Source organism: Homo sapiens, chromosome 19 (assembly GCF_000001405.40).
Source record: "Homo sapiens chromosome 19, GRCh38.p14 Primary Assembly".
Lineage (NCBI taxonomy): Eukaryota > Metazoa > Chordata > Mammalia > Primates > Hominidae > Homo > Homo sapiens.
Genome location: NC_000019.10, coordinates 32,447,456 through 32,469,124, shown reverse-complemented (window position 1 = coordinate 32,469,124; position 21,669 = coordinate 32,447,456). Strand labels below are relative to the sequence as shown.

Genomic DNA, 21,669 nt, shown 5'->3' with positions numbered 1-21,669 from the left:
ATTTTAAGTTTCAACAGATATTATAAACTTTTATTGCCATTTCTGTCAGTGGTTTGAAATTTATTTATTGAATCGGTTTTCCTCTCCAAATGGGTATTTTCCTTTCTTCATGAGATATAGCTGGAGAGAATATTTCTTAAATAGAAAGACATTATTTTCAAATATGGAGTTTTAAAGAAAAATCTAGTAAGGACGAATGTTTCTTCGTAATTAGATTCAGAAACAAACAAAAAACCCCCAAAACGAAATGTGGTCTATAGTGACTCTTAAAAGGCACTTAAAATTTTAAAAGTTAAAAAAAATCCTCTTACTTAATCCAGTTCATCAGCTCCACTGTATCTGGATCATAGAATTCTCTCAACTCGGAGAGTTCATCCATCATTCCTGGCCAGAACTGAAATTAAAAACAAAACAAAACAAAAACAAAATCCACCCCTACACCCACAACTATCACTAAGATTAAATGAAAAAAAGATAAACTGCATATAATGTGTGAACTAAATAAACATAGCTACTGGAATATACAACTATTTCACCTCTGCAGCAACCCTCCTAATACAAGGGAACTAGCGCCTGGGAAGTTTCTGAAATTATCTTCAGCTGAAACTAATTAGGATGTGAGGTATCGCCAACTTTAAAAAATGAGCTTTTTATTTTGCTCCAATAGAAATGCTATTGTATGTGATGATAATACCTGGCAAAACATTATTTTGACATGACAAGAATGCCAACCATGAGAAAGTTCACAATCCGTTAGGAATATGTAATTAACTAATACCATGCAATTTACCCCTAAAAGTAGAATGTATCCTGTAGAAGACAGAGCCATTTTACTGCTGCAAAAATGCTTTAGAATACGGCCTTGTTTTATCCTCACAATAACCCATGACATGGATGACGCAACAGGCAGCATCACCCACTGGGATTTATTTTTCATTTAGAAGTGTGGAAACTGAGGCTCAGAGAGGTATCTGACTTGACCAAGTCACAAGCGGCAGAGCTACAACCTGGACCCTGGCTCCAAATCCAGCCCCCTTTTCATTTCAAAATAGCATGATTGTATTTTTGTACTAGAAATCTGGTCAAATGGTTTGACATATATTAATATAATTGCTGGTACAATGAAAGAGAATAATATTTAAATGTAGGGCTCTCCAGGAATATCTGGTACATCTGGCTGTATTTATACCACTTGGTGCCTCCTGGTCAACTTGAGTACTTAAGGTTTTCTAAATAAAATGTAAAAATTACTCTCTGAATTACCCACTTATCTAATATCTTAAGTCCATTTAATTCAACAATTAACTAAATCTTAATTGTTTTTATCAAATGACAGTTGACTAAAAAGACTTGATCATATCTATATACATTCTAAGGTCAAAGGTAGAATTCACTTCACATATTAGCATAGAAGACCAATGACAATGTATGTATGCTCCACTGACGTAGAAAATATAATACTTTTATTTAAGAACCACTAGTAGAATCAAAGCAGCACCTGATTGATCTCTGGCTGTGTTTGAGACCTATCACTGTTTTTTTGGTCATCTCATCTTTGGCCATTTTTACTGCTCATTCAAATCTTGTCTCCTGGGTGGGTGAATCAGGAAAATTGCTAGTGATGGGAAATCAGGTGTCAGGACTTCTGGTTCTAGTTTTTGGAAGAGATGTAGTAAAAATTACTGATTAAATGATGCCTTTGTAATATTTCAATGATCTATGTTTCCTTACTAATTTGATAACCAATAGAATACCAACTTTTTAATGAAATGCTCTAATTCTTACAGTATAAACATATTTGAAATCTGTGAACTCAATGAATATTAGATATTTTTCTAGTTTGAAAGTTACTGTTATTAATTCTGAAAATGTTAAAAGCTAGTGAGAATTTTGCGGCAAACTCCTTTAACAATATGAAAGTGCTGAATTAACTAACTGCCGTTTTTACCAATCAGCAGTAGAGATTTCAGCAATCCAATTAAGTTAATCAAGACCAACGTCCTAATTTTACTAAAGTCTTGACTTCGGAGTGCAGGCTAGTACATGCTTTTTTCCCTTTTAATATGCTTATACTAAAGAGAAATACAGCAAAATTGGTAGTATGAACAAGAAATTTTGAAACTCTAACTACAATTGCAATGTAAAACTGAAATCAGGCTTTGAAATATATGAATTCACATTACTTACAGGTAAGTCTGTAAGAGCTGGAATAGTTGGAAAACAGATTCAGTTTCAGGGTAACCCCTCATACCCATACCATCTTAATTTTCTCTGTGATTTTATGTAAGTTTTGTGGAGATGAAATATCTGAACTATTTTATACAGTGAAAGCTGAATGCATTAGGATTTCTCCTAAACTCCTGTATCAAGAGAGACTAGGCCAACAGTCTTTTGGAGGATTCCTCAGGATACTAACTCCCTTATTCAGGGAAAACCTGCAACAGGATTTCCTGGAGATGATGGCTTCTTTAGCTGTCCCAGTTCTTTTATAGCAGTGGTTTTCAAGATGAGTAAGGGGAGACATTGTGCCCCTAGCCCCAGCCCCAGGGCATTTGGCAATGTCTGGTGACATTTTTGGTTGTAGCCAGGGGAGACGTGCTTCAATGAGCGGGCAGAGGCTGAAGCTGCCGCAGAGCAGCCTACAGCACACAGGACCGCCCCCGCCCCCAGCGGCAAAGAATTCTCTGGCCCAAGTGTCAATGTGCCACTGCTGAGAAACCCTGTGACCGCTACAGCAGGGGGTTCTTAAAACTGGGGGGCTGGTTAAATGCCTATTTCTGTACTGGACTCCCAGGCTTCTGATTCGGTAGGTCTGGAGTGGGACCCAAACACATGCATGTTTACAGGATCCCAAGAGACGCTGATGCTGTTTATCTGAGGACCACGCTTCAAGAATCAATGCTCCCTAGGACAGTTTACTTCTTATACAATGTCCTTCCTCAATTTTATTACGAACAAAACACCTCAGTCCTCAAATAGCTTAAAAAAATCAGTAAAATTTCAATAGATAGCTGAGACATAAAAGAACTGAACCTACATGCACACGGGCAGTATGAAAGATGGTTATTGTTCGGTACATCTTCAGTGGTGAGAAAAACATTCATGAGCTTTATCTTTTCTGTGAGGAGGGTGCTTTAATCCACTGAATCATTGTGTAAAGGTAAACTGACAGGACTCCTCAGTAACATATACTGTTTAATCCTTAACTGTTCGTGTCTAGATGTTTTTAGTAAGTTTCAGTTATTCGCATTAGAGCAATAAAATTCCCAGAGGTGGGGAGGCATAAATCTATTTGTGTGTTTTTTAATATCTAGGAGTTAGCACAGAGTTTTGCTAATGGTAAATGTTTTGATAGACAGGCTCATAACAGAACACATTTTTTTGAAATATTTACAATATAGTATTTAGCAATATTTTCTTTAGCCTGAAACCTTTGGTTCACAAAATCCTACATGAAAATATAAGCAAATAAACCCCAAAGCTGAGCTGCTCTAGCTGATCCTCTCTGCGGGAGGTCCCATCACCCCTGCTTTTAGCCACCCTCCCAAATCAGGGGTTCTACACAGTAGAGTTTGAAATCCGTCGTTTTAACTTAAAGTAAAATTTAAAGGAAAAAAAATATAAACTTAATATGTTAGGTTCTTTAAAAAGAGAGGGCAGAAGCTCAATTGGATAAAACAGTCTGTGCTATCTGCCCTAGTGATGATTCAAGACTGCCAATGTCAAAGATGTGACAAAAAGCCACAGTCAACCTGACCAATGATCATTGTCTCTGATAAGAAATTCTCTGAATTAAAGGGCAGTTCATGCTGTTTCAGAAACTAGTCAAATGAGAATATGAAAAATCCAGATACTTCCTATTGATACTGAAGAACAGATTTTAAAAAGCCTAGCCTTAGGCTGTGTTTATTTATGTGTCTAATTCTCTTATGAAGATAAGCATCTAATAAAATATGGAGCTTAAAGTAAGATACATTTAAAAATCTCTTAGTCTATATAAATCAGGTAATGGGAAAATAATTTTCCTACTTTCATTTCAAAATAGGTCTGAAAACACCTTATTTTCAGAATTTGCATCAGCTGAATATTAAGAGTCTAAATCAAAATTAATTAGAATTATTAAATGCTATAGTAGTTTTCGCTATCATGTTTTTACTTGTTAAAACTATTTGGGAAAAAGATCCATTTTCCCATCAATGTCACCTTCAGTAAGAAGCTAAGGAGGTATTTATAACCTTCACAAACCACTCTATTTGCCAAATAATACACAAAATATATTGAATCAAAGCAATTATTCTGCTAAATACATGAATGACAAGAATGAGGAAAATCAGTCTTACCTTATAGCATAGATACAGCAGTATTAATATCGGTACTGAATATCGCATTATACATATCTATATAAGAAAGACATTATTTAGATTATAAGTATTTTGAACCTTTTCTTTTTTGAGAGACAGGGTCTTGCTATGTTTGCCTAGGCTGGCCTGGAATTCTTGGGCTCAAGTGATTTTCCTGTCTCAGCCTCCTGAGCAGCTAGGATTATAGGAGTGAGCCACTGTGCCCGGCTTTTTTAAACACTTCTGCCTTACAGTTTTGCTTTGTAAATATATGCCTTAAAAAATTACCAGAAATATAATTTAATGGAGCACAAGTCTCCAATATGCAGAATAACTGAGTCGATACTAGGATTCTAATCATTTGTAAGATATCTGCAGCTTCTACTATATTGCCACCTAGTGAATTTATGGAGTAGAACAATTCAAAACTGCATTTATAGGCTACTGAAAAATTGTCATACATATATAAATAATTATCTTTATGAAAATACATTATAATAACAACAGTTATAATTCCGGACAAGGGGATTATTGGTAATTTTAATTCCCCTTTTGTGCTTTTTTTTGTATTTCCAAATTCTGTATAATGAACATATCTAACTTATAGTCTGAGAAAAAAGTAATTTTTTAAAATAAAATTATTTTAAAATAATTCCCTATAAAATCTTAATATATCAATTATGTATTTTCAGCTTCAATTTCAGTATCCATTTTATCTCACAGCTACTGAAAAACAAAAAAAGAAGTGGTATGAAAGAAATACTGCAAGTCATAAAAGGAGATGGAAAAAGGGATGACACTGACCCTCTTTGGGTTATAAAGATGGACTGACTTCAGAAGTAACTCCCATATTTCAGGGCTACATAGGCCGAATGATGCGAACACACACATGTGTGACGTCCAGAGGTACTTCATTCTGCAAGAACAGACACAGGCGCAAGTCAGAAGTACTAGTTGTATATAAACCTGGATTCTGAGACACCTATAAAGGCAGCTTTACAGTCTATGACGGCAAAATCTTACTTAAAACTATGCAGATGCCATTTGCCGAAGGGTTCGTTGTTTAACTCCACTGCCTTTTCAAGACTATGCTTTGAGTAAAACATAGAGGCGTGTTTGTAATTAATTGTAAAAACTGATGTTGAGTATTTTATACTGAGAGAAGATAGGATATAAGGATGATTTTATGGGAACCATGATCATTAATGAAGATGATTGTCACTTTCCAAATTATATTGCTAAGTAACATCAAGAGTGATCAAATAAAAAGTAAACAAACAGGTAAGACAAAAATACCTCATTGTACTCAATGCCAAGAATCCAAACAGAATGGTATGTATTAAGTTGTAGGCAGTTTCTGGTTTCAGGTCAACTGTGCCTTTTTCCATTTTACCCACGGATTGTTGATTTGTAGAATCACTGAGTAAAACAGCAACATACAAAATTTAAGCTGGAAACATAATTTTAGTTAGATCTTTGTAAAAGAAGAAGATACAAGAAATGTATGCCTTTATGTATTCAGAAATTGATTATTTCCATAAGATGAAATGAATTCGCATTGATCAATTTTGAATTTATGAGGCTAAAGTGTAACAATATAAATGCATTAATAATGAGAAAAACTGAAATTTCACAGCAGCTTTGAAGTAAAAATTTAAAGTGCTTCAATTCTTTAAATTAAAAGAGAATGCAAAAAAAAAAACTCAAATTTTTTGGAATTGCTGAAATTGAAAGAGATTTTTAAAAGATGTTTTACCAGTTATTATGAGTATTTTTCAAATTTTTACAAATAAGCAAAAGCAAAACACACATCCATTAACTTGGAATTCAGTTCCTTTATGACCCCTCAAAAATCACATTTTTAACCTACCAATACCTCCTGATATCCAAAAGATGACTTTTACCAAATACGGCTACATTAAAATTATTACACCCAATAAAAGTAACAATAATTCCTTAACATCATCTAATACCTAGTTCATGTTCTATTTTCCCTGTTTGCATCAATTGCTTTTTTCAGGTTTCTCTGAATCAGGATCTAAGAACTGCATGTTGCATTTCACTAATATATATCTTTAAATATCTTTTGATCTATAAAAGTATCTCCTTTTTTTAAAAAACAGGCCATTTGTTTGTGGAAGAATAGAGAACATATGTCCTGAAGCTGTTCCCGTCTCCCAGGTGTGGCTCACAGTGGTGGTTATACGTTTCATGCTTCTTGTAAACTTGTAATTAGATCTAGAGGTTTATCAGACACAAGTTCATTTTTTTGGCAAGAACACTTCACGGGGTTATGATGCACAGTAGTCCCCTCTTATCGGTGGATTCACTTTCAGTGGTTTGTTATTGAGGAAACTGCTGTCCGAAAATATTAAATTGAAAATTCCAGAAATAAACCATTCATAGTTTTGAATTACATGCTATTCTGTGTTGCATGATGAAATCTCTCCATCCCTGTCTGTCCCACCTGAGACTCAGATCATCATCCCTTGGTCCTGTGTTTCCACGCTGTATAGTCTACCCACCTACCCGAGACAGACAAGCAGATACATTCAGCTACTAAACTACTAATAAAGTAAGATACATTTAAATGTCCCTGTATTGTTTGTGTTCAAACAGCCCTTATCTTACATAACTAAGGCCCCAAAGTGCAAGAGAAGTGATGCTGGCATGTTGCTATAATTGTTGTATTTTATTATTATTGTTATTCTCTTACCATGATTAATTTATAAATTAAACTTTATCACAGGGATATATGTATAGGAAAAAAACATAGTATAGAAAGGGTGTGAAACCATCCGAGGTTTCAGGCATCCACTGAGGGACTTGAAACATATTTCCACAGAAAACAGGACGGCTCTATTCCACATCACATTACACCGGGAAGCACACACTGCCTGGCTGTCTCCACTTCAGTGATGTTAAGACTGATCAGTGACTTTAGATGTTGCACAATTTGTTGTCGAGGGGAAAAGAAAACAACAGTAAAGGCTACTAGTTAAAGATGAAACTTTCATGAAGGTCTACTGATCCCTTCATACATACCCAATAGAACTGGGCACATACGATGCTTCTCTATGTAACTAGAGACTTTTTTTATTTCCCAGAAATCCTTTTTTTCCTACCATAAATACATACGAAAATTAAAAGGATACTCTAAGGCAGTTCTCACCATTGGTAATTCACAATTGGAATCTTTACTTAAAAGTAAATATTACAACCCAAACACTGGTTTCCATATTGGTACAAAAAGGATACTCCAAATAAGAATATCCATCAACAGGGCAAGGTGTGAAAAGTAAATAAAAATAAAACAGACAAGGGGAGTATCTGCTCTTATCCTCTCTAGATACCTAAGAGAAGTCTGCAGTACCTCCCCCATAGCCCAGCCAAGCTGGAAGGCTCTGATTAATTCCATGAACACAGAACACCATGCCCCTTTCAGATGTACCCCTCACACTAATGCAGATGTCTACATAAAAGTCATAGTATCTGGCAGGGTGCAGTGGCTCATGCCTGTCATCCCAACACTTTGGGAGGCTGAGGCAGGGAACACCATGCCCCTTTCAGATGTACCCCTCACACTAATGCAGATGTCTACATAAAAGTCATAGTATCTGGCAGGGTGCAGTGGCTCATGCCTGTCATCCCAACATTTTGGGAGGCTGAGGCAGGCAGATCACTTGAGGTCAGGAGTTCAACACCAGCCTGGCCAACATGGTGAAACCCTGTTTCTACTAAAAATACAAAAATTAGCTAGGGGTGGTTGTGCATGCCTGTAATCCCAGCTACTTAGGAGGCTGAGGCAGGAGAATTGCCTGAACCCGGAAGGCAGAGGTTGCAGTGAGCCGAGATTGCACCACTGCACTCCAGCCCAGGCAAGAGCGAGATGCATTTCAAAACAAAACAAAACAAAACAAAACAAAACAAAACAAAACAAGTCATAGTATCATCCTTCCTAGTACTAAAAAGGTAGAAATACTTTAAATACTTGGCACTGACAAAAGGCCCTTATTTAAAAGTTAATTCACATTTAGACAGTCACGTGCCACATAACATTTTGGCCAACAACAGATCGCACATACCACAGTGGATTCGTAAGATTATAATGGAGCTGAAAAATTCCTATTGCCTAGTGACATCATAGCCATTATAAGGTCATAGCACAATCACTTTGTTTTTTAAATAGATTTACTGTAGCCTAAGTGCACAGTGTTTATAAAGTCTACAATAGTGTATGGTAACATCCTAGGCCTTCACATTCACTCACAGGCTCACACAGAAAAACTTCCAGTCCTGCAAGCTCCATTTATGAAAACTGCCCTATATAGGTATACAATGTTTAATCTTTTATTACAGTATTTTTTAAAAATAGAGATAGGGTCTCACTCTGTTACCCAGGGTAGAGTGCAATGGTGCAATTATAGTTCACTGAAACCTCAAACGCCTGGGCTCAAGTGATCCTCCCGCCTTAGCCTCCCGACTTGTTAGCACTACAGGTTTGCACCATCGTGCCTGGCTAATTTTTCTTTTTCTTTTTTTTTTCCGTAGAGATGCGGTCTTGCTATGTTGCCCAGGCTGGTCTAGAACTCCTAGCCTTAAGCAATCCTTCTCAACCTCCCAAAGCACTGGGATTACAGGCCCACCATACCTGGCCTTTATATTTTTACTGTACCTATTCTATGTTTAGATATATTTAGTTACACAAATACTTACCATTGTGTTACAACTGCCTACAGTATTAAACATAGTAACTTGCTGTCCAGGTTTGCAGCCTAGATGCAGTAGGTTATACCACATAACCTAGGTGTGTAGTAGGCCATACTATCTATGTTTGTGTAAGTATACTGTATGATATTCGCACAATGATAAAATCGCCTAATATGCATTTCTCAGAACATATCCCCCTTGTTAAGTGACATGACTGGACTATGATTCTTTAATTACTTTCATGTAGTGCTTTTCCTCTAATAAAGTCCTAATATCCCTATCTGGCAGATGAAGATGCTCTAAAATCTTTTATCTATGATCATATACCCAATCAGCCTCCAGAGATGGCTCATAGATTCACACAGAGCATGGCAGACATTTTCAGGAAGATACTGCAGGCCCACTGAACTTCCTGCTTTGTATGCAGTCCAGAGTCCTGTTGACACTTGCTATGTCTGGAATGATATTAAATCACACTGTCCAGAATAATTTCCATCTATTTTCACAGGGCTAAATTTTATCTTGGGTTAGGTATGAAAAAGAACACTTCTCAAGGATAGTAAAATAGTTTATGTTCAATGAAATATTTTCATGGTTCAATGTTGTTTCATTCTTAATGATCATAAAACCTCTCAACTGCTCTGGACTCATTTTAATGACAGCTCTCTCGTGGCTGTGAATCACAGTTCACCAGCACATTAATTGGCAAGGTAACTACAGAAAAAGGGCTTCCTCGTGAGCTTCATTAAGTTTTCACAAATGACAGCAGCTTCAACTTCTTACACTTAATTTTCTTTCAGTTTAACACGAAGAGTCAATGCAAACCCCCCCAGCAGCTTGATGGGTAGATATTCTTACAAGTTTTTAAAAAGCCTTCATACTCCTGATTTTTTTCTTTCAGTAGATTGGTAGATATACTTAGTTTTTTAAAATTGGCAGTTATTACTCAAAACTTTTAGTAGATACTAATAATTATGGTCCACTCCAACATTATGAGCCCTGAAGCAAGATGCAAGAAAACAAATGAGCAATAATTAATTAACTCTTACATTTCAAGAGCAATACAAAAAAGCAGCTAGAGGAGGAAGGGAGAAAAACACAGGATGCTAATAATGGAAACACAACAGAGGCTTATGAGTCAACAGTGATAATGAAACCAGTTCACGATGGCTTGTACCTGCCGAAGTCTAGGCACCAGACACTATTTTAAGTGCTTTATGTTGTTTTTACTTATTTCTCAAATATCCTGTAGAGTAAGTACTCTTAGTCTTCCCATTCTAAAGATAAGGAAATGGACATATCAAAAGGTTATGTAACTGGCTCAAGAGTCACTTTGTTCCCAAGTGTGCAGGCCAAGACTTAAGCCCAGACCGCATGCAATCTGATCATTACTCTGTTGTCTCCTAACTACTGGGAGTGTAGTCCACTCTAAACGAGGTATGTTCCCCCTTTAAGATGAATACTATTACTTGTGTCTGATATTCTGACTTTCAACTTTGCAATTTTTCTGCAACATGGAACAAGTTCATTAAAGGAGAGCATTAGATTTCTGAAATATACCATACCTGAGATTATGAAAGGCAACAACGAATGCTACAATCACTGTGATGGACAGAACGAATATGTAAGCATAAAAAAGCAGAGTATCTGAAAGCCTTCCAAATGTATTAAAAGGCAGGAGGCCAAAAGCTTCTTCACACAGATAGAGATTTGCATCAAAATCCCTAGGGAACAAATGGAAAGCAAAGTATTAAATTCAATATAAGACAAAGAAATGACATTGCATCTTTCCTCAGAGGGAGTCTGCAATTAATAGTTGAAGGCACAATGACAACTTAAGTTTTAAAGTCCCTGCTGATTCAATAGAAAATAGCAAACATAGACTTTCAATTCAGTTATACCTTGTTGCTCCAAGCCCAAATTTTGCCTTCAGAAATTTAAATATGTGTTCATCTGACTTCAGGTTAAGAATTTTCTATCGGGGAAAGAGAAAACAAAAATTGCTATTAGTCCTTTAGGCACGGTTTCCTGATAACTTCCCATTGAATTTACATATTCAGTGTCCAATTTCACAGGAGCGTGTGGGTGTACAAAATCAGTAAATGTTCACAGTAGTTCTCAGAACTGAGGAATTCCAAAGCAGGGACTTCCAAACTCCTTCCAAACCCCACTCCCCTTTTTAGCATAATCCTTTATTCAAAAAACATCTTATACATAAGTTAAATATGCAAAATAGGTAAAAGATGAGATTTTTTGGTTTCAGGGAGAGGGAGAAGGCTGAGGCATAGTGTGCATAAGTTTTCAGACCAGAAAACTGACAAGACGATGATCTGAAACCTCAAATAGATACACCGCCCACAAAGCCTGTCTGGCTTTGGGGCTTTTGGTCTGTGGATACAATTGATCCAAGACTTATTCACTCAAAGACAATTCAAGACAGTTGTAACCCTGAAGGGGTGGACAGACAAATATGAGTGTTCATCATTAGTGATTACAATTTTAACTCATATAATTCTATTTTAAATTTGTGGCTTAAAAATCCATATATAATAACATAAATGGTGAAAAAATTTATTAGAAGAAAAATGAAGACAGGGAGAAAAGATGAAGCTAAAATTGAGTTCAGTACACACAATATATTCATTAGAGATGAGCCACAAATCTGGTCTTTTGCATTCCAGCAGCAAATGCAAACAGGGAGGTCAACATATTTATGTTACTCACGGGTTTATAAGAGTAAAACAAAACAGTTGCTCGGAAGAGATCTTAACAGTCCTAGAACTGAGACTCAAAATAATTTTTTCCCATGGGTAAAGCAAAAACAGCAAGGACTTTCAAGGAAAATTTTCTCTACTTCCTCTTGTTGTAGGTCACTGGCAAAACATCAAATGCAATTCAACAGATGTTATTCTTCGGGGAGTCAAAAAATGGTGGTCCAGGGATGCAGCTCTTTACTGGTTTAATCCAAGAACAGGTCACTGAATGTGTAGAGTGGGCCAATGCAAGAACTGTGTATCTTTGGCCACTCTTCCAGAAATGTTGGCTGCTCCACTCAAGTTTTGAAAAAAATTTTTTTAGTAGAGTTTAGATTTTGCTACATTTCCCAGGATGGTTTTGAACTCCTAGCCTCAGGCGATCCTCCCACCTCAGCCTCCCAAAATGCTGCGATTACAGGCATAAGCCACCACACCTGGCTTTGAATAGGCTTTTTAATTTTTAATTTTTGTGGGCATATAGGTGTATATATTTATGGAGTATATGAGATATTTTGACACAGGCATATAGTGTGTAATAATTCCATCAGGATAAATGGGGTATTCATCAACTCAAAAAAAGCTTTTGGCTGAGTGCAGCAGCTCGTGTCTGTAATCCTAGCACTGTGGGAGGCTGAAGTGGGAGCATACCTTGAGCCCAGGTGTTTGAGACCAGCCTGGGCAACATGACAAGATCCCATCTCTACAAAAATTGTGAAAATTAGCCAGGGGCGGTGGCACACACCTGTAGTCCCAGCTACTCAGGCTGAAGTGGAAGGATTGCTTGAGCCCAGGAGGTCAAGACTGCCGTGAGCCAAGATCGTGCCACTGTACTCCAGCCTGGGTGGCACAGTGAGATCCTGTCTCAAAAAAAAAAAGCAAAAAAAATTTAGAAATTTAAAAATAAATTATTGATAAGTACTTGACTGTATGGAGTTTAAGAACATACTGACAGCTGGGCATGGTGGTTCACGCCTACAATCCTTTGGGAGGCCAAGGCAGGTGGACTGCTTGAGCCTAGGAGTTTAAGACCAGCCTGGGCAACACAGCAAAACCTTGTCTCTACAAAAAATACAAAAATTAGCCGGTGTGGTGGTATACACACATAGTCCTAGCTACTCAGGAGGCTGAGGTGGGAGGATCACCTAAATCCAGGAGATCGAGGCTGCAGTGAGCCATGACCACACCAGTGCATTCCAGTCTGGGTGAGAGACCCTGTCCAAAAAAAAAAAAAAAAAAAAAGAACATAGTGACATAGTGACTGGCTGAGTGAAGAGTCTTTTTTTTCTTTGATAGTCAACAGACGTGAACAAGGACCACAGTTCTCTTGTGGAGAAGGAGCCTGTTTTGCAGATGCCTCCTATCCTGAGACCAACCTTCTAGGACAGGCAAAAGTATCTGAAGATACCAATGTAGTTTTGCTCTAGCATAAAAACAAATGGGATATCAAGGTCCAAGAATTATACCTTTAATAAAGCCTACCCTGAAAAAAAATTAAAACGCCAATAAAAACATTTAAAAAGCATGTTAAACTAAGCAGAGCCCCTGGGGCATTGTAAAAATCTTAGCAAAGCACCTACTGGACATAAAACCAATGGATGCCTACGTTACCAAATGAGTTGTTCTGTTAGGCCTGTTGCATATAAGTCAGTTAAATGTTGGGAAAAATGAGCTCAACTCTTCTTTCCAGCAGAAAGTAGATAGTAAGGCCACTTTACTTATTAACTGAACTCAATTAAAAATCATGTCTTTTTTTTTTAAGTACCACAGTACAGAAAGCTACGTGTATATTACGGTACTAAAAATAAAAATTTTAAATTTAGAGAAATTATTTGTTTAATGCTTTTTAAGTTAAGCTTTTAAAAGTTTCATAACAAAAGGTGAGTAAGTTCAAGGTGGGACATAAGAGTACATAGAAATTAATGACTAAAATCAACAAAATAATCCTTGCTACTAAGACAAAGTTAAAACTGAGCCTGTTTGAAGTAAAACTGGTAACTCTTGAGTCACGTTAATACACTTTATAAAGCAAGAATTTATTTAAAATTAAAAGTTTCAAAGAAGCCAGGTGTGGTGGTGCACACTTGTAGTCCCGGCAACTTGGGAGGCTAAGGTGGGAGGGCCATCTGAGACCAGGTGTTCAAGGCCAGCCTAGGAAACGGCAAGACCCTGTCTCTAAAACAATTAGTTTATTAAAAAAGAAAAAGAAAGTTTCAAAAATTATCTCCAATGCCATAAGTTAATTAAAAATACATTAAACATGTCATTTTTATTAACTTACCTTAATTATGTTGTTGAGAAAAAGTGTCAAACATAAAACCATAAATAAATGTAACAAAAGTTTCCCAAGCCTATTAAGGAAGCTTCCAGTTTTCAGATTTTTCTAGAAATTAAAAGAGTTATGTTTTAATTCTTAAGTTTTAATATAACTTCATAAACACTGAAGATGAGCTTACTTAAGGATTTAAAAACACTGGCTCATATAACATAAAGGGAAAATATATGTGGAAAATACAACCTACTCATTTTCATGAGGTTACACTGTCTTAATATTTGTGATTTTCTAGTAGTAAATGAATCACTTAATAATGAGCTTCATACGATGAGGAAATGTGTCCTAGTCTTTTTTTTCCTAATTATTTTTTCAGACCTTAGAAACAGGAGGATTGGGGTCTGCCATTTGGAAGGTACTCAGGATACGCTGACTGAACAAACTGTTACATCTTTTTCTTTTTTTCTTTTTCTTTTGAGACGGAGTCTCACTCTGCTGCCCAGGCTGGAGGGCAGCAGAGCAATCTCCGCTCACTGCAAGCTCCGCCTCCTGGGTTCATGCCATTCTCCTGCCTCAGCCTCCCGAGTAGCTGGGACTACAGGCGCCTGCCACAACACCCGGCTAAGTTTTTGTATTTTTAGTAGAGACAGGGTTTCACCATGTTAGCCAGCATGGTCTCAATTTCCTGACCTCGTGATCTGCCAGCCTTGGCCTCCCAAAGCGCTGGGATTACAGGTGTGAGCCACCACGCCTGGCCCTGTTACATCTTTTATCCATTAATTCCTACACCACGGGCATAGTTACAAGTCAATTACATAAAAGACTTATGGGTGTAAAAAGAAGTACATTGTGCCTTTTGACATATAATAGTTTTCTTATAATCTTGATAATTTTATACATTGTTAAATATAATAATATCTTAACAGTTCAAATACGAGTAATATTTATAATTAAGGTTAAAAGGATGACTGTGAACTGTTGTTTTTGATAGTCAACTAAAAACCTTTGTCCATAACAATTCTCACTCAAAAGACTAATAAGAAAAATGATTTCTTCTTCTAAAAGTGGAAAACAAAATGGCTTCTTGACACGGAAGTTTCTAGCATATGTGAAACAGGATGTTGTAATTTTAAGCAAAAACAAATGACTCATATCTTATGTAAATATAAGAAATTTAATTATATAAATAAAGCTAAAAGAGCAAGTCATTGTTTTCAAACATGATTTGACAATACCCTAGGAAATGTCCCATTATTTCTAAAGTTATTTATTTGGATTCTCAAAATTCTCAAAACAGTTAATTTTAATTCACCTAAAAATAACTAGTATGGTATGGAAGGATGGGGAAAAGAGTAGCATTACTACATCAAATAACAGGGTATCCACCAACGTGAAGGACTGTAATGAACACGCTCCCAACACAAGCAGGAGACTCTTCTCGCTCCTGAGTTCACACACATAAAAATTAATAACTTTTCTCTTTTACTTCAATTTTAAATCAGTGGCATTCAACCAAGCATCTTTGGCTGATCCCCACATTGAAGGTAAGGTTCCAATTCTCTAAGAAATAACTGTCAAAATAAAAGGATGACCCAGAAAGCTTGAAACAGAAATGCTACCACATGCACAAGAAAAAGCACACAATGCCACGTGCTCTTTTTAGTGCAAATCAGGTTGTAAATTTCCCTTTGTATGCTGTGTGAAAATAAGGTTCAATAAACCACGCAATTAAAAAAAAGTTTACTTTGATAAAGGACAAAAAAAAAGTCCTACCTGAAGTTTTCTTGCAATGAATACTGAAAGGTTAAAACTGATAAGCAGTGATCCAAGAATCATGGAATTAAAAAACTGAAGAATGCAGACCAGGAGTAAACTTGTTATCTGTATTCCATACAGCCATGTCGCCTGCAAGAACCAAAGATTAGATGAGTACAGACATTTTACCAAGAGATCATCACATGTCGACATGTTGGTCATGAGGTGGATACACCTCAGCTTACAAATAATGCAGAAAACACATGTAGATTCAAGAAACACAATCTAGGCCAGGCGCGGTGGCTCACATCTGTAATCTCAGCACTCTGGGAGGCCGAGGCGGGTGGGATCACCTGAGGTCAGGAGTTCAAGACCAGCCTGGCCAACATGGTGAAACCCCATCTCTATTAAAAATACAAAAAAAAAAAAAAAAATTAGCTAGGCGTGGTGGCTCGTGCCTGTGATCCCAGCTATTTCGGAGGCTGAGACAGGAGAATCGCTTGAGCCTGGGAGGCAGAGGCTGCAGTGAGCCGAGAATGCGCCACTACACTCCAGCCTGGGCGACAGAGTGAGACTCCAAAAAAAGAAACACAATCTAAAAAAGGAAACTAAATCATACACATACCAACTGTTTATTTACCTTTTAATAACAGAAATCTTCTAACATTAATTAAAGGGGAAGTAAAGAGGGATGATATGAAGTAGAGGAAGTAAACAACAGCAGAATGTATTTATTCCTGGGAATTGGCAAGGGCCATTTATAATCTTCAGTTTTCTTTTCAATGATTTCAGTTACTGTTTATGACCACCAATAAGTACTTTACTGTGTTATTTCCTAGTTTTCCATACTCTATACTTTAGGACTGTATCATTCCTTGCTTTGTCTGTGTGAGTGTGTGCCCAGATCCCCTGATTAGACTGCAAACCCCTCCTGCTGCATGACCTTGTCCTCTTTGACCTCACAGCTTCATAGCAGGCAGCACAGTACACTGGGCAATGACATCAGCTCCGGCACCAACAGCACCTGTACTGCAGTTCCGATTCTGGTGCAAACCAGCTATGTGACCTAAATGGTTCATCGTGAACAAGAGATGATGATACCTTCCTCACAGAGTTGATGTAGGGTCTCACAGAAGAACCAGACATGGTAATGGATGAAAATGCCTGGTGGCCAAGCACGGTGGCTAATGCCTGTAATCCCAACATCTTGGGAAGCTGAGACAGAAGGATTGCTTGAGCCCAGTTCAAGACCAGCCTGGGCAACATAGCGAGACCGTGTCTCTATAAAAATAAAACACTAGCCAGGTGTAGTGGTGCAAGTAGTCCCAGCTACTCAGGAGGCTGAGGTGGGAGGATCACTTGAGTCCAGGAGGTTGAGGCTGCAGTAAGCTATGATCGCTCCACTCCATTCCAGCCTGGGCAACAGAGCAAGACCTGGTCTCTAAAAAAAGTGGGGAGGCGTGGGTGGGGAGGAAATGCCTGGCACATAATGAGCACTAAGGATTAACTCTTGATGTAATGAAACTTATTGATAGGTTGATACCAAAAGAAGCAAAACACAACTAACTTGAATACACGAAACACGCCACAAAGAAAAAAAAGGCAGTCCCTAATAAAGAGTGGACACTTATTCTGTTAGTTTTCTTCTTCTCTTTCAAATTAGACAATGCCATACTCATTCTGACAAGTGAAAAATACGTTTTATTTAGCAGCAAATCCGATTATCCCCATGGTTTTGTTCTCTTAACCTCAAGGGAAACAAACCTATTGATAGAAGCATTGAAAAGTGAGGCTTGCAGCAGTTCAGTGCTTTTGCTTAGTGTCAATGGGAACTCAGGGAAATGGATGCTGATGATCTTTAGGATCATAAAGATAATGTATCTTACTCTAGGAGAGTTAGACACTTCAGAAAAACACAAAAAAGAAATAGCAATCAATAGGTGGGCTCTTGAGTCAAAACCCAGCACCATTACCTAAAGAAATAATATTGATTTCACAGCAGTATATAGTATTTCATATACAGGATTTTACATCCTTCACATCCTACCATATCACTTTCTCACATCAGTGACTATTCTGTGAAAACTTAAATTTTAAATGGTTATGTAACATTCCACCATATGCCATAATTTGTTTGCCACTGGACCATTTAGGTGTTTCTGGCTTTTTATTAACATTGTGAACATCTCTTTAAAAATTTTTTTCAGGTCTGATTCTCAGAATTCCTAACCGAATTGTCTGATTAGTTACATATTTTGTTCACTGCTGTATCCCCAGCACCTTAAAGAATACACACTAGAAGAGCGGCACTTAATAAACATTGGAGGAACTGATGAATAAAAACATTTCCTTAGGGATAGATCCCTGAGTACAACTACTGGTTAGAGAAGGAAGAGTTTTTCCTTCTTAGCAGTTTTATTAGTTGATATAATTCATATACCATCAAATTCACCCATTTAAAGTGTGCTTCATGATTTTTGGTATATTCATAGAGTTGTGCAACTCTCACCTCAGTCTAATTTTATGACATTCTCATCACTTCGAAAGAAACCCATATCCACTAGCCATCACTCTCCATCATCCCCTACCCCCAGCTCCGGCAACCACTGATGTACTGTTCTCTACAGATTTGCATATTCTGGACATTTCACAGAAATGGAATAAAGTGCAGTCTTTTTAGCTATCTTCTCTTACTTAGCATGGTGTTCTCAAGTTTCATCCATGTTGCACCATGTATCAACATTCTTTTTTATTGCTGAACACTATTTATTGCACAGCCGGACTACACTGTTTATGGAAGGGATATGGGCATTCGGGTGGTTTCCACTTTGTAGCTATGAATCACACTGCTATGAATATTCATATACAAACATTTTTGCATGGATATGTTTTCATTTCTCTTGGGTATGTATCTAGGAGTGGGATTGCTAAATCATATGGTAACTCTATATTAAAATCAAGAAATGCTGAGGAAATGCTGTTTTTCAAAGTGACTACACCATCTTATAATCCCATCATCATCAATGTATGAGAGTTCTGATTTCTTCACATCCGCGACATTTGTCTCTGTTTTTTAATTTTAGCCATCCAAGTGGGTGTAAAGTGGTATCTGCTTGTGGTTTTGATTTGCATTTCTCTGATAGCTAATGACGCTGAGCATCTTTTCCTGTGTTTATTGGACATTTATGTATCTTACCTGGAGAAATATCTACCCAAATCCTTTGCTATTTTATCATTGAAAGAGTTATAAGAGTTCTTCATATATTCTGGGAGTTCCTGATCAGATATATGATTGCAAATATTCTCTCTCGTTCTATGGGTTGTCTTTTTACTTTCCTAATAGCACACTTTTGAGTACAACAGTTTTAATTTTGATGAAGTCCAATTAATCTGTTTTTGTAAAAGTCACTTGTGCTTTTGGTATTGTATCTAAGGTTTGTGCTACTCCAAGGTCAGGAAGAGTTATTACTATGTTTTCTTCTAAAAGTTTTGGTTTTAGCTCTTACACTTAGGTCTGTGATTCACTTTGAGTTAGTGTGTACAGTGAGAGGAAGGGGCTCAACTTCATTCTTTTGCATGTCGGTATCAGTTATTCCTGCACCATTTGTTGAAAACACCATTAATTCTCCATTTAGTTATCTTCACACCCTTGTTGAAAATTAATTGACCATTTCTTGTGCAGGTTTATTTCTCTCTCTCAATTCTATTCCATGGGTTTATGTCAATTCTTCTGCTAGTATCACACTGTCCTGATTACTATAGCTTTGCAGTAAGTTTTGTAATTGGAAAGTGTGAGTCTTCCAACTTTACTCTTCTTTTTCAAGATTGTTGTAGCTATTCTGAGTCCCCTGAGTTTCCATATGAATTTCAGGATTAGCTTGTCAATTTCTGCAAAAACTCCTCCTGGGATTCTGAGAGGGAATGTGTTGAATCTGTAGATCAATTTGGGGGGCACTGCCATCTTAACAACAGTAAGTATTCCAATCCAAGAACGTGAATTATCTTTCCAATCTAGGCGTTTAAAACTTTCAACAATGCTTTGTGGTGTTTTGTAAAGCGTAAATTGTCACTTTGTGTTACATTTGTACCTATGCATTTGACCCTTTTTGATGCTCTTCTTTCTAGGAAGTGTTTGTATCCTTTGTTCCCTTTTCTCATTGGTTTATAAATGGTTTTCTCATGGATTTGCAGGAACTCTTAAGGATACTAACTCATTTACAAATGCTTTTTTTCCAAAAACATCTTTCTGGTTGCCTTTATTTGTGGGTGTTTTTTGATGTTTACAGTTCTTTTTATATCAAGTGAGAGTATTTCTAGAAAAAGGGGCAGTTTGTGTAACAACAAGATTGTATAGTTTTATATACATTCAAAAGAAAAATTGCTGATGAACAGCCAAAAATGTAAAATTGAGCAGTACTGTGTATTAGGAAGTCCTGGATTATCAGCGGTGTACTGGATATTCTTTCCCAGTTCTATTAGTACAGTACAGTATAGAAACAAGGCAGCAAGAATATAGTTGACCCCTAAACAACACAAGTCCAATTATACATAGATTTTCTTCTGCCTCTGCTACTCCCGAGACAGTAAGACTAACCCCTCCTGTACCTCGTCCTTGGCCTACTCAATGTGAAGATGAGGATGAAGACCTTTGTGATGATCCACTTCCACTTAATAAACAGTAAGTATATTTTCTCTTCCTTTGGATTTAATTAACATTTCCCTTTCTCTAGCTTACTTTATAATAAGAATATAGTATATAATGCATCACATACAAAATATCTGTTAATCAACTATGTTATTGGTAAGGCTTCTGGTCAACAGTAGGCTACTAGCGATTGAGTTTTTGGGGAGTCAAAAATTGTGTGCAGATTTTCAACTGCTGGGGGGAGACATCGGCACCAGTAGCCCCTGTGTTGTTTAAGGGTCAACTGTATATCCTTTCTGTGTAGAATAACTACAGCTGTCTTCAATGGATCGTGTCCATGCTCCTCATCACCATTCATAATAACCACAGTTAATATCTGTTTAACATTAATAAAATAGCAAGCATTGTTCCATACGACCCACATATGACTCATTCAAACTTAGGCAGCCTAGTTGTAGAGTCTGTGTTCTTAACCACTATGCAATATTGGCTACCACGTAAATAGTACCACAGAGGCTCAAAACTTTGTTTTACACATTTTATTTGTGTAAATTTAAGGGATATAAGTACGGTTTCGTTACACGTACATAACATATACTGATGAAGTCTGGGCTTTTCGTGTATCTATCACTCAATGTGAATTATATCCATTAAGCACTCAACACCCACCCACCTCCCACTCTTCCTGAGATCAGAACTTTCAAAGTCTGTTAAGATTGAAAAGTTTTTAATGTTCCAAGGTAATTATGGAGAAGGTTCGCAATTTTACTAATCTTTCAAAGAGCCAGCTCTATCTATCTATCTATCTATCTATCTATCTATCTATCTATCTAATCTATCTATCTATGAATGAGATGGAGTATCTTATCTAATCTATCTATCTATCTATCTATCTATCTATCTATCTATCTATCTATCTATCTATCTATGAATGAGACGGAGTTTCGCTCTCATTGCCCAGGCTGGGGTGCAATGGTGCAGTCTCAGCTCACTGCAACCTTCGCCTACTGGATTCAAGTGATTCTCCTGCTCAGCCTCCCAAGTAGCTGGGATTACAGGTACCCACCACCACGGTCAGCTAATTTTTCTATTTTTAGTAGAGACAGGGTTTCACCATGTTGCCCAGACTGGTCTCAAACTCCTGACCTCAGGTGATCCACCTGCCTCAGCCTCCCAAAGTGCTGGGATTATAGG

General features: G+C 37.1%; 1 protein-coding gene across 15 annotated transcripts in view, besides 1 other annotated feature; it reads right to left on the bottom strand.

The window, feature by feature from the left end:
* DPY19L3 (dpy-19 like C-mannosyltransferase 3) overlaps positions 1 to 21,669 on the bottom strand; it is an 80,121-nt gene that overhangs the window by 16,766 nt on the left and 41,686 nt on the right. For 6 of the 15 annotated variants that reach the window (XR_007066627.1, NM_001172774.2, NM_207325.3 and 3 more), the window contains 8 exons: positions 15,849 to 15,980; positions 14,085 to 14,186; positions 10,952 to 11,025; positions 10,616 to 10,774; positions 5,637 to 5,759; positions 5,145 to 5,256; positions 4,341 to 4,397; positions 312 to 394 (listed from right to left, as the gene is read on the bottom strand). Coding sequence is in view for 13 of the 15 variants with exons in the window: in NM_001172774.2 (NP_001166245.1) it covers positions 312 to 394; positions 4,341 to 4,397; positions 5,145 to 5,256; positions 5,637 to 5,759; positions 10,616 to 10,774; positions 10,952 to 11,025; positions 14,085 to 14,186; positions 15,849 to 15,980 (842 nt within the window). In the remaining 2 variants the exon portion in view is untranslated. Of the gene's footprint in view, positions 1 to 311; positions 395 to 1,431; positions 1,652 to 4,340; positions 4,398 to 5,144; positions 5,257 to 5,636; positions 5,760 to 10,615; positions 10,775 to 10,951; positions 11,026 to 14,084; positions 14,187 to 15,848; positions 15,981 to 21,669 lie in introns of those variants that run through there. The other 9 variants (XM_047438249.1, XM_047438251.1, XM_047438250.1 and 6 more) reach the window with 5 other exon arrangements.
* Positions 10,054 to 10,103: an enhancer, noted in NCBI's record as "active region_14429". NCBI's record gives its function as "activates an Ori minimal core promoter by ATAC-STARR-seq in GM12878 lymphoblastoid cells {active_cell/tissue: GM12878}" and the evidence as "EXISTENCE:reporter gene assay evidence [ECO:0000049][PMID:35858748]".